We start from the raw sequence: 12,577 nt of genomic DNA, 5'->3' as shown, positions 1-12,577 counted from the left end.
TCCCCATTCCTGGTGCCCACTCTGATTTGGGAGCAAAGTTGAAGCTGAGCCCAGGCACTGTTGCAACCCGGCCAGGTGTGTGCATGCTCGGGGCAATGCCAACACAGCAGTCCCCTGTCACCTTGGTCCCCTCTGGACTTTGGGCACCAACGAGCATGGGAGGGAGGCCTAAGGGGGTTGAGGGTGGCTTGGCGTAGCCTTACAGGCACCCTTTAGCACGAGCAGCCTGGGTGCCGTGGATGGCGTGTTGATGGTGGCAGGCAGGCTTCTGGGTGGGAAGGGGTGAGTCCCTGATGAAACCCCACTTCCAAGCCTGGGGGCCAGCCTCCAGTTCTGGGTGGAGTCCCTGGCCTGGAGTGAGAACTTATGGTGCTTTCTCCAGGCCCTCCCAAGGCTATCTATGGACCAATCAGCATGCACTTCCTCCCTTTGGAACCCATGAAAACCCCAGACTCAGCCAGACTTGGACAGACTTGGGACTACCAGCTGTGGGAAGGAGCTACCCACTGCAGTCTCCTCTATGCAGAGAAACTGGACACTTGTCAGGATGACCTGCATGTGGAACTGTAGGTTTCCTGAGAACTGTTCTGCAGCTCAGTGAAGCTCCACTTCACCTTGCTCACCCTCCAGTTGTCCACATACCTAATTTTTTTTCTGGATGCGGGACAAGAACTCAGGACCCACTGAATGGTGGGACTAAAAGAGCTGTAACACAAACAGTACTAAAACATGCCGCCCTACTTGCCATGTTGCAGGTAATGATGTTACCGGGGGTCCTTGCTCCCAGAGCTCCCAAGATGGTGGTAGGCCACTTCCAAGATGGTGGCAAGCCTCGTGTTTTCTGACCTGGGGTTCATTGGCCTCACGGATTCCAAGGAATGGAATCTTAGGCCATGCGGTGAGTGTTATAGCTCTATTAGAAGTCGTGGGTCATGGAAGACAACCGTGGAACCCAGTGACTAGTGTTCAGCTCGATTAGAACGAACCCAGGCACTTAGCCATGCAGGAACAATGGCAAGCCTTTAGCCCGATCAGGAGCGGCAATGGGCGCCTCGCTGGATCAGGAGCACAGCGGACACCCTGCTGGATCCGGAGGGATGGAAGTCAGCGGCCGGTCTCCGACCGCAACAAACCAGCAGTGGTGGATGGCAAGAGAAAGCTCAGTTTGAGCCGTAACAAACACGGACCAGAAGAGTGCAGTTGCAAGATTTAATAGAGTGAAATAGAGTGAAAACAGAGCTCCCATACAAGGGGAGGGGACCCAAAGGGGGTTGCCGTTGCTGGCTTGAATGCCTGGGTTTATATCCCGATCCTTGTCCTTCCCGCTGTGCTCTCAGGCAATAGATGATTGGCTATTTCTTTACCTCCTGTTTTTGCCTAATTAGCATTTTAGTGAGCTCTCCGATTGGTTGGGTGTGAGCTAAGTTGCAAGCCCTGTGTTTAAAGGTGGATGCCGTCACCTTCCCAGCTAGGCTTAGGGATTCTTAGTCGGCCTAGGAAATCCAGCTAGTCCTGTCTCTCAATGGGAAAGAGAGAAGAGCTGCAGTTCTTTCAGGAGCCCAGACCTAGGGGCCCTCTGAGCCAGGGCAGTGACACCCTCTTTGGGGGTCTGCGGTTCCTGGTGTCTCCAAGGGTCCAGGTGCCCCGAGTTCCATGGTGCTCACAGTGAAATCTACTTGTGGTATGCCTGGTCCAGCCACAGCCTCACAAAGAGCCGGCACCCGTGCTGGTGCCTGGAGCTCCCCACCTCTCCGCAGCTGGCATGCCTGGCTGTGGGCAGTGGCCAGATCCCACGCTTGCTCACACACTCCTCACTGCTCTATGCCTGACTCTCCCTTGGCAGGTGTGGGATCCAGGCCAGTGGCACAGCTGAGCACAGCCTGCCAGGCCGAGTGGGTGGAATGAGCCCAGCAGGCCTGAGCAATACTTAGGCAAAGGTGCCACTGGCCACAGAATTTCCAGCTGGAAAAGCAACACCCCAAAGATTCCTTGACACCATGATTTAAGTTTCCTGAAGGCTTCCCGTCGTGCTTCCTGTTAAGCCTGCAGAACTGTGAGTCAACTAAACCTCTTTTCTTCATAAATTTCACAGTCTCAGGTGGTTCTTTACAGCAGCATAAGAATGAACTATTACACCCACTAAGGGTTATGTGAAATAAGGAGCAATCCTTAAACCAGATACTACCATTTGAAAGATGAATTTTAGGTATTTCCTTAGATACTTCACAGAAATATGTTTAGATGTGGGTCTTAGAATATTCTACAAAGGTGTCTGATCTGTAAGAACAGCCTTGAAGCTCTGAGAAATATCCTTTAGAAGGGGCTACATTACGTATGTTTTACATTCATTTTGGAGTCAGAAAGATTTTATTTGAATTCTGATTCAGTTCTTAGAGAATTATATAGCTTTGAGGAGGTTAATTAACATCAAATTGTTCTCACCTATGGAATGTGAATGTATAGTGATGCCTACCTCATGGAGATTTTGTAAGAATTCAGTCAGCCCATGCATGTAAAGAAGACAGTATGTTTCCTGCTGTGATCGTTGGATGCTGATGTTAGCATAATTGGCTTGGTCACAGCTAGAGCAGTACACAGGATTCTTTTTCCCCTTCAAGCTAAAGATTTAAATTTAAATATATTTAATTCAGATGAATAATTAAAAGGAAAGTATTGGCTCTGAAGATGAGAACCAGTTCTTGAAAATTACCCAAGAATTATATATACTTCATGGTACATATTAGCTATTCATCATTTTATGAAATAGTCATTTTTTAAAAACACATGATTGACATATCTTTCATGCGCGTCCGTGTGAAGAGACCACCAAACAGGCTTTGTGTGAGCAATAAAGCTTTTAATCACCTGGTGCAGGCGGGCTGAGTCCGAAAAGAGTCAGCAAAGGGAGATAAGGGTGGGGCCGTTTTATAGGATTTGGGTAGGTAAAGGAAAATTACAGTCAAAGGGGGTTTGTTCTCTGGTGGGCAGGAGTGGGGGTCGCAAGGTGCTCAGTGGGGGAGCTTTTTGAGCCAGGATGAGCCAGGAAAAGGACTTTCACAAGGTAATGTCATCAGTTAAGGCAAGGACCGGCCATTTACACTTCTTTTGTGGTGGAATGTCATCAGTTAAGGTGGGGCAGGGCATATTCACTTCTTTTGTGATTCTTTAGTTACTTCAGGCCATCTGGGCGTATACGTGCAGGTCACAGGGGATGCGACGGCTTGGCTTGGACTCAGAGGCCTGACATTCCTGCCTTCTTATTAAGAAAAATAAAACAAAATAGTGTTGAAGTGTTGGGGCGGCGAAAATTTTTGGGGGGTGGTATGGAGAGAGAGTGGACGATGTTTCTCAGGGCTGCTTCAAGCGGGATTAGGGGTGGTGTGGGAACCTAGAGTGGGACAGATTAAGCTGAAGGCAGATCTTGTGGTAAGGGGTGATATTGTGGGGTTGTTAGAAGAAACATTTGTTGTATAGAATGATTGGTGATGGCCTGGATACGGTTTTGTATGAACTGAAAAACTAAATGGAATAAGGAGAAAAACAGGTATAAAAAGTCTAAGAATTGGGAGGACCTAGGACATCTGATTAGAGAGTGCCTAAGGAGATTCAGCATAGTCCTGCCACCAAAGATTATTTAGTTACTTCAAGAGTTAAGAGTGGCAGTTTGGGGATAGCACGAGGAGATATCAGCTGTGATGGCTTGGATAAACAGTGTAAACTGGCAGTGTAAACAAGAGCAGGGCATGTATGAGTAGTTGAGAACAGAGAATAGGAGTATGACTAGACAGAAAATAGTAGGGATGACAAGTTTTTTTTGGGGGCACAGTCTAAGTTGGTCTGGTGTCTGGAATGAGACTGGGGCCTAATAAAAAGGAGCATCTATACAGGAGCTTAAATGGGCTGTACCTTGTAGCATTCCAAGGACAGGCCTGAATTCTGAGAAGGGAAAGTGATAAAAGTATTGTCCAGTCCTTTTTGGTGGCTGAGCTTGGTGAGGTGAGTTTTTAAAAGACCTTCAGTCCATTCTACCTTTCTTGAAGATGGAGGACCGTAAGGGATATAAAGGTTTCACTGAATACTAAGAGCCTGAAAAACTGCTTGGCTGATTTGACTAATAAAGGCTTATCTGTTATCAGACTGTATTGAGGTGGGAAGGCTAAACTGAGGAATTATGTCTGACAGAATGGAAGAAATGACTGCGGAGGCCTTCTCAGACCCTGTAGGAAAGGCCTTTACTTATTCAGTGAAAGTGTCTATTTAGCCTAAGAGGTATTTTAGTTTCCTGACCCGGGCATGTTGAGTAAAGCTAATTTGCCAGTCCTGGGTAGGGGCAAATCTTCGAGCTTGATGTGTAGGGAAGGGAGGGGGCCTGAATAATCCTTGAGGAGTAGTAGAATAGCAGATGGAACACTGAGAAGTTATTTCCTTGAGGATAGATTTCCACGATGGAAAGGAAATGAGAGGTTCTGGGAGGCGGGCTAGTGGCTTGTACTATAGCATAGCCTGCCTTTGCTGGTATGTGGCGATTAGGCCTGGTGGAACTGCCATCAATAAATCAAGCGTGATCAGGGTGAGGAACAGGAAAGAAGGAAATATGGGGAAATGGGGTGAATGTCAGGTGGATCAGAGAGATACAGTCGTGGGGGTCAGGTGTGGTATCAGGAATAATGTGGGAGGCCAGCTTGAAGTCCGGGCCAGGAACGATGGTAATTGTGGGACTTAACAAAGAGTGAGTACAGCTGAAGGAGCCAGGAGCAGAAAGTATATGCGTCAGGTATGAGGAAGAAAATAGATTTTGGAAGTTATGAGAAATGTAGAGAGTGAGTTGAGCATAGTTTGCAATTTTGAGGGCCTCTAAAAGTATTAAAGCAGCGGCAGCCGCTGCTTGCAGACATGAGGGCTAGGCTAAAACAGTAAGGTCAAGTTGTTTGGACAGAAAGGCTACAGGGTGCGGTCCTGGCTCTTGTGTAAGAATTCTGACCACACTAACCATGCCTAGGAAGGAAAGGAGTTGTTGTTTTGTAAGGGATTGAGGTTTGGGAGATTAATCGGACACGATCAGCAGGGAAAGCACGTGTGTTTTGAGAATTATGCCGAGATAGGTAACAATTGAGGAAGAAATTTGGGCTTGATTGAAGTAACGGGGGCTGTCTGTGAGCTTTGTGGCAGTACAGCCTAGGTAATTTGCTGAGCTTGATGGGTGTCAGGGTCAGTCCAAGAGAAAGCAAAGAGAGGCTGGGATTAAGGGTGCAAAGGAATAGTAAAGAAAGCATGTTTGAGATCCAGAACAGAATAATGGATTGTGGAGGGAGGTATTGAGGATAGGAGAGTATATGGGTTTGGCACCATAGCAAAACAATTTGGTTGCTAAGGCGCAGATCCTGAACTAACTTGTAAGGCTTGTCTGGTTTTAGGACAGGTAAAACGGGGGAATTGTAAGGAGAGTTTATAGGCTTTAAAAGGCCATGCTGTAGCAGGCGAGTGATAACAGGCTTTAATCTTTTTAAAGTGTGCTGTGGGATGGGATATTGTTGAGTGGGGTAAGGGTGATTAGGTTTTAATGAGATGGGAAGGGGTGCATGATTGGTCGCCAAGGAGGGAGTAGAGGTATCTTATACTTGTGGGTTAAGGTTGGGGGGATACAAGAGGAGGACACAAAGGAGGCTTTGGATTGGGAAGGAAGGCAGCAATGAGATGTAGCTATAATCCAGGAATAGTCAGGGAAGCAGATAATTTAGTTAAAGTGTCTCAGCCTAATAAGGGAACTGGGCAGGTGGGGATAACTAAAAAGGAGCGCTTTAAAGAGTATTGTCTAAGTTGGCACCAGAGTTGGGGAGTTTTAAGAGGTTTAGAAGCCTGGCCGTCAATACCCACAACAGTTATGGAGGCAAGGGAAACAGGCCCTTGAAAAGAAGGTAATGTGAAATGAGTAGCCTCCGTATTGATTAAGAAGGGGACAGGCTTACCTTCCACTGTGAGAGTTACCCAAAGCTTGCCGTCCATGATGGTCTAGGGCGCTTCCGAGGTGATCGGGCAGTGTCAGTCTTCAGCCGGTAAGCCAAGAAGGAGTCAGTCAGAGAGCCTTGGGCCAGAGTTCCAGCAGCTCTGGGAGTGGCTGCCAGGTGAGTTGAATAGTCCGATTTTCAGTGGGGTCCCACACAGATGGGACGCGGCTTAGGAGGAATCCCGGGCTGCGGGCATTCCTTGGCCCAGTGGCCAGATTTCCGGCATGTGTAGCAAGTTCCTGGGGGAGGAGGTTCTGGAGGAACACTTGGCTGCTGCGGTTCAGGCATTTGGAAGTCTTGTGTGCTGGAGATGTAGCTGGGGTTTGTCTCACAGTGGAGGCAAGGAATTGCAACTTTTTTCTGTTATTGCACACCTTGAAGGTGAGGTTAATTAAGTCCTGTTGTGGGGTTTGAGGGCCAGATTTCAGTTTTTGGAGTTTTATTTAATGTCGGGAGCAGATTGGGTAATAAAATGTATATTGAGAATAAGACGGCCTTTTGACCTTTTAGGGTCTAGGGCTGTAAAGTGTCTCAGGGTTGCTGCCAAACAAGTCATGAACTGGGCTGGATTTTTATATTTGATGAAAAAGACCCTAAACGCCATCTGATTTGGGATAAAGAAAAAGGAGCATTAACCTTGACTATGCCTTTAGCTCCAGCCACCTTTTTAAGAGTAAATTGCTGGTCAGGAGGGGGAGGCCTAGTCACGGAACGAAACTGTAAGCCGGAGCAGGTGTGAGGAGGGGAGGCGATTAAAAGATTATAGGGTGGAGGAGCGGAGGCTGAGGAAGAATTGGGACCTAGCTCGGCCTGTTGAGGAGGGGAGAGGTCAGATGGGTCTGTAGAAAAGGAAGATTAGAAAGACTCAATGACACTTGGGGTTGGTACTGAAGGGACAGGCGGGAGGGAAAGAAGGAAGATTTGGGACGAGTTGCACTGGGCACAGAGACTAGGAAGGGACTGATGTGTAAAAGAATGCCTGGACGTCAGGCACCTCAGACCATTTGCCCATTTTACGACAAGAATTATTTAGATCTTGTAGGATGGAAAAATTGAAAGTGCCGTTTTCTGGCTATTTGGAACTACTGTTGAGTTTGTATTGGGGTCAAGTGGCATTGCAGAAGAAAATAAGATGCTTAGATTTTAGGTCAGGTGAGAATTGAAGAGGTTTTAAGTTCTTAAGAATACAGGCTAAGGGAGAAGAAAGAGGAATGGAAGGTGGAAGCCTGCCCATAGTGAAGGAGGCAAGCCCAGAGAAAAGAGTAGAGACACGGAGAAGGGGTGGGGGTTTCTTCCCCTCCAGAAAAGCAGAGAAAGGGTTGGGACATGGAAATAAGGGATTGTGGCACAGAGATAAGAGGTTGGGGTGCGGAAATAAGCGATTGGGGGGTTCTTGCCCCCTAGGAAAGCGGGACTTGCCACTAAGGGTGAAGGAGAAGGGGTTGAGGGGTACTTGCCCCTGTCCCAGGAAAGCGGGACTTGCCGCTAAGGGTGAAGGACCAAGGCAGGCATCCCTGCATGGTCTGACACCCTTGAAACGTGAGTGTATAATCAGAGAGGCGTCCCTGCAATGATTAAACACCAAGGGAAGGCTGCCTTCCCAGTCCGTGACCGGTGCCGGAGTTTTGGGTTCATGGATAAAACATGTCCCTTTTGTCTCTACCAGAAAATGAAAGGAATTGAAATTAAGAGAAGGGAGAGACTGAAGTGTGGCACCAAGACTGAAAGGAGAAAGAGGTTGAGGGATAGTGAGGGAGGTTGGAGAAGAGAGTAAAAAGAGGCCACTTACCGGATTTGAAATTGGTGAGATGTTTCTTGAGCTGATCGGTCCGAGGACCTGAGGTCGTAGGTGGATCTTTCTCACGGAGCAAAGAGCAGGAGGACAGGGGATTGATCTCCCAAGGGAGGTCCCCCGATCCGAGTCACGGCACCAAATTTTATGCGCGTCCGTGTGAAGAGACCACCAAACAGGCTTTGTGTGAGCAATAAAGCTTTTAATCACCTGCGTGCAGGTGGGCTGAGTCCGAAAAGAGTCAGTGAAGGGAGATAAGGGTGGGGCTGTTTTATAGGATTTGGGTAGGTAAAGGAAAATTACAGTCAAAGGGGGTTTGTTCTCTGGCGGGTAGGAGTGGGGGTTGCAAGTTGCTCAGTGGGCAGGAGTGGGGGTCGCAAGGTGCTCAGTGGGGGAGCTTTTTGAGCCAGGATGAGCCAGGAAAAGGACTTTCACAAGGTAATGTCATCAGTTAAGGCAAGGACTGGCCATTTACACTTCTTTTGTGGTGGAATGTCATCAGTTAAGGTGGGGCAGGGCATATTCACTTCTTTTGTGATTCTTTAGTTACTTCAGGCCATCTGGGCGTATATGTGCAGGTCACAGGGGATGCGATGGCTTGGCTTGGGCTCAGAGGACTGACAATATCCTCCTCCCTTAAAAAAGAAACTAGCAAACATTTTCAGAGAATATTTTGCATAATGTAGGAAATCTAGTTAGCCCTGAGTTCGGTATACTTCTAAACGCTTTAGTTCTGAAGATGTACTTTACAGAACATATCATAAAATTCTTCCTGTGCTTATCTCCTCTTAGTAGTATGAAGAAAAGGGAAACAGTGGCACCCTAAAGTTGTGGAGAATTCTTAGCAGAATATTTCTATGATCACATGCCCTTGGAAAAGAAGTTAAAACCCAGTATTGAATATATCCAAGGTTAGGCATTGAGTGTGGAATTTTTTAAATAGGGAGGCCACACTAGAAGGATAATATGATTTCCCATGTTACAGAAAGTGGTTGAGTCATTAGTTCTTCTCTGCCTGGTTGTTAAGAATAAAGGAGGTTTAAAAGGCAAGCACCTACTTTTGCTGTAGCAACCTCAGGGCGTAGGAGCATTCAGAAAGCCTGCTTCTGGTAGGCATGACTGCAGTGGGAGCCATGTCAAGTAATGGAGTGAGGACCGAACACTCTCCAGGAGTAGGAGCTACTGTGGTGTAAAACCTTCTTATGCACAGTATAGTAAGGCTAAGTAAGGCCCATATGTGGTCCCCTAAAACAGCCTGTCAGAATCCAAGAAGTATCAGAAAAATCACAAATATCTGCAGCCATGTTCATTCTTACAGCTAAAGCAGTACACAGGATTTGATGTTAATTAACCTGCCCAAAATTTGATGTTAATTAACCTGCCCAAAGCTATATAATGCCCTTTTCTGGGGGGTGAAAATAGGGGAAAAGATCATTGGTGCCACATCTATAAGTTCCTTGTCCACAGAACGCCAGGCATTTCGTCCTCCTGTTTTCCTTTCTCTTTAAAAAACTGCTAGGTGTTTTTTAAACCAAGCTGAGGGTAGGAATTACTTGAATGAGGTAGTCTAGAGACTACTCTATATAATGTTTTGTTCAGCATAGTCAATAGATCTGAACCAGGAATTCTGAGTCATGGTCAAAGCTTGGAGTTCAGAAAATAAATTCTTATCTTTTGTCAGGAATATTTTCTAGAACCCCTGAGCTTCCAGTGAGATCATAGTTCCAAAGAACATACTAAATAAGAAAAATAGAAACATAAGATACAAAGCAGTGAAAACACCAAAGCCCATATTTATTTATTGAGCAGGAAACGTATCGTTCTAGAGTTGTCATTGTGTTACCTTTTACAAGCTTAATGTAATAATTTGACATACATGAAGTGTTTTTACTGAGATCCATTCATTATCCTTCCATTCTAGATGAGAAGGAAAGAAAAGTAAAAGAACTAAATTTCAAACTCACTGAAGTCTCTCTTAATTACAAAAGAAAGATTACATGAAAGCCAGGAGTATTTTTTTTTTTTCATTTTTGTCAAAGATGTGGTTACTGGATTGTTTGAACAGAGTATTACAAGATATTAAACCAAGTGAAATTCTGCCCATAGTGCACAAGCACTACAGGTTTTTGTTTGTTTGTTTGTTTTTGAGACAGAGTCTCACTCTGTTGCCCAGGCTGGGGTGCAGTGGCACCATCTTGGCTCACTGCAACCTCCACCTCCCAGGTTCAAGTGATTCTCCTGCCTCAGTCTCCCAAATAGCTGAGACTACAGGCATGTGCCACCACACCTGGAATTTTTTTCTTTCTTTCTTTTTTTTTTTTTTTTTTTTTGTATTTTTCTAGTAGAGACGGAGTTTCACCATGTGGGCCAGGCTGATCTCGAACTCCTGACCTCGGGTGATCCACCTGCTTCAGCCTCCCAAAGTGCTGGGATTACAGGTGTGAGCCATTGTCCCTGACCACTACAGGGTTTTTGTTGTTGTTGTTGTTTTGCTTGTTTGCTTGTTTTGCAATAAAGACACATTGAAAGTTGACATCAGATAAAAAGTATTTTTCAAAGTCATATTAGTTTGATGGGGATTCCTCTGCCATTCCTTCATCAGCATGTGCTATCCTGTTATTAAGAACCTCAACTTTAGTTTTGTAGAATTTATATTCATTGTATTCTTGTCCTAGATGATATGACTTCTGTCCAAATAAGAACTCTTATCTTTACTCAATTATCTAGACTATCTCAAAAGAATCAAGAGGTTTTTCCTTTTTAATGAGACCATTGAAGAAGTCAAGCCTTTGACATGCCTCCCACACGAATATATGTGTGTGTGTGTGTGTGTGTATGTATGTATGTTTTTCTCTCTAGTAATTTGATACTTTCATAAAAATTTTGAAAGACATTGAAAGATATTTCAAAATTCTATATATTTTACTGGGTTAACTGTTCATTTTCTAATTAGTAGAAAATCTTTAGTTTTAGCATACAGATTTAATTAAGAACCCATTAGGTCATTCATATTTAAATAGACTTGTTCCAATAACCCACATCTACTTTTTTTTTCCACTTACAGATTATGTTAATCAATTCTTTCATCTGATTGCCCCCTAAAAGGGAAAACAATTTTTTTACATGTTCAACCATATGGAGAGATTTTGAAAAGGATCTATATCTATTGATGGTTTTAAACTCATATTTTTGGCTGAAGTGAATAAAAAGAAACTAAAATGTTAATATAAATGTTTATCTTATAGTCATAACAAGTCCTTGAAAGATTCATTTGTTCTTTTCTTTCTGCCTTCTGTAGAACCAAAAAAGAAAAAAAAAACTAATACCTTTTCTTTACTCATCACAAGGTTCATGGCAGAAGCAGCTATAATGAAAATAGATGAACAAGAGAAAAACCTACAAATGTATTTAATGTAAATTTTACATGATACTGCAGCTTTCAGAAAAGGAGACCCTCCAAAATAGGGAAACCTGTGTATATTATGCTGAATTTGATGAATGGATAGTTGTGGAGAAAAATGATTAGAGGACAAAGGGTGTGATCTAATGGTAATAAACTAGGCAGAGGGGGAACTTAGCAAGGCATGTTTGCTCAGGTTCTTCTCAGCTTCTCTGTGTCTTTGATGATAAGGATATTTTATTTCCTTTGGGGAAAGGAAGAAGAACTCTGAAGTAAAGGCTTTACGGCCTGCTTTAGAGGAAGTTCAGAGAATTCTTTTATGGCTTGCTTCAGGAGAGAAGGGCAGGGTAAGGTGAGAGTGACGTTTCTGCTTCTGCTGCTTCCTCAAATGCCAAGGTGCCATACTTTGAGGTAGTGAGTCCTGAACCCTGTCACTTCATTATAGCCATGTTAATGTATTTTTATTTTATTCATTCATTAAAATGAATCTGATTTTACCTTCCTGACTTCTTTCAGTAACACATAAAACATATATAGTGAAGATGTTTCCAGGGATGTGGGTAGGGTTTGAGGAGAAAAGCTCAAGAAGCTTAGTGGATACAAAAGGGAAAGAAAGGAACAACTTTATTTTATTTTTTATTTTCATAAGTTTTTGGGGAACAGGTGGTATTTTGTTATGGAAGTTCTTTAGTGGTGATTTTGAGGCTTTGGTTCACCCAGCACCTGAGCAGTATACACTGAACCTAATTTATAGTCTTTTATCCCTCAACCCCATCCCACCTTTTCCCCCTGAGTCCCCAGTCCATTGTATCATTCTTATGCCTTTGAATCCTCATAGCTTAGCTCCCACTTATGAGTGAGAACCTATGATGTTTGGTTTTCCATTCCTGAGTTATTTCACTCAGCATAATAGTCTCCAAACCCATCCAGGTTTCTGCAAATGCCATTAATTCATTCATGTTTATGACTGAGTAGTATTCCGTGGTATATATATGGGGTATACATATATCACAGTTTCTTTATCCACTTGTTGATTGATGGACATTTGGGCTGGTTCCACATTTTTGCAATTGCGAATTGTGCTCCTGTAAACATGCATGTGCAAGTATCTTTTTCGTATAATGACCTCTTTTCCTCTGGATAGATACCCGGTAGTGGGATTGCTGGATCAAATAGTAGATCTACTTTTAGTTCTTTAAGTAATCTCCATAATTTTTCCGTGATGGTTGTACTGGTTTACATTCCCACCAGCAGTGTAGAAGTGTTCCCTTTTCACCACATCCACACCAACGTCTATTATTTTTTTGATTATGGCCATTCTTAGAGGGGTAAGTTGGTATCTCATTGTGGTTTTGATTTGCATTTCCCTGATCATTAGTG

The 12,577-nt window shown here is 44.2% G+C and overlaps 4 annotated features.

Moving 5' to 3' along the window:
* Positions 1,505-2,503: an enhancer, noted in NCBI's record as "NANOG-H3K27ac-H3K4me1 hESC enhancer chr2:210169954-210170952 (GRCh37/hg19 assembly coordinates)". NCBI's record gives its function as "activates a minimal SCP1, AML or CMV promoter by ChIP-STARR-seq in naive H9 embryonic stem cells {active_cell/tissue: H9 hESC(naive)}" and the evidence as "EXISTENCE:reporter gene assay evidence [ECO:0000049][PMID:30033119]".
* Positions 2,504-3,503: an enhancer, noted in NCBI's record as "OCT4-NANOG hESC enhancer chr2:210168954-210169953 (GRCh37/hg19 assembly coordinates)". NCBI's record gives its function as "activates a minimal SCP1, AML or CMV promoter by ChIP-STARR-seq in naive and primed H9 embryonic stem cells {active_cell/tissue: H9 hESC(naive and primed)}" and the evidence as "EXISTENCE:reporter gene assay evidence [ECO:0000049][PMID:30033119]".
* Positions 7,505-8,164: an enhancer, noted in NCBI's record as "OCT4-NANOG-H3K27ac-H3K4me1 hESC enhancer chr2:210164293-210164952 (GRCh37/hg19 assembly coordinates)". NCBI's record gives its function as "activates a minimal SCP1, AML or CMV promoter by ChIP-STARR-seq in naive and primed H9 embryonic stem cells {active_cell/tissue: H9 hESC(naive and primed)}" and the evidence as "EXISTENCE:reporter gene assay evidence [ECO:0000049][PMID:30033119]".
* Positions 8,165-8,824: an enhancer, noted in NCBI's record as "OCT4-NANOG-H3K27ac hESC enhancer chr2:210163633-210164292 (GRCh37/hg19 assembly coordinates)". NCBI's record gives its function as "activates a minimal SCP1, AML or CMV promoter by ChIP-STARR-seq in naive and primed H9 embryonic stem cells {active_cell/tissue: H9 hESC(naive and primed)}" and the evidence as "EXISTENCE:reporter gene assay evidence [ECO:0000049][PMID:30033119]".

The sequence above is a fragment of the Homo sapiens genome, chromosome 2 (assembly GCF_000001405.40).
Source record: "Homo sapiens chromosome 2, GRCh38.p14 Primary Assembly".
In the NCBI taxonomy this organism is placed as follows: Eukaryota; Metazoa; Chordata; class Mammalia; order Primates; family Hominidae; genus Homo; species Homo sapiens.
Note: the sequence above shows the minus strand (reverse complement) of the source record. Positions and strands in the feature narration are given on the sequence as shown.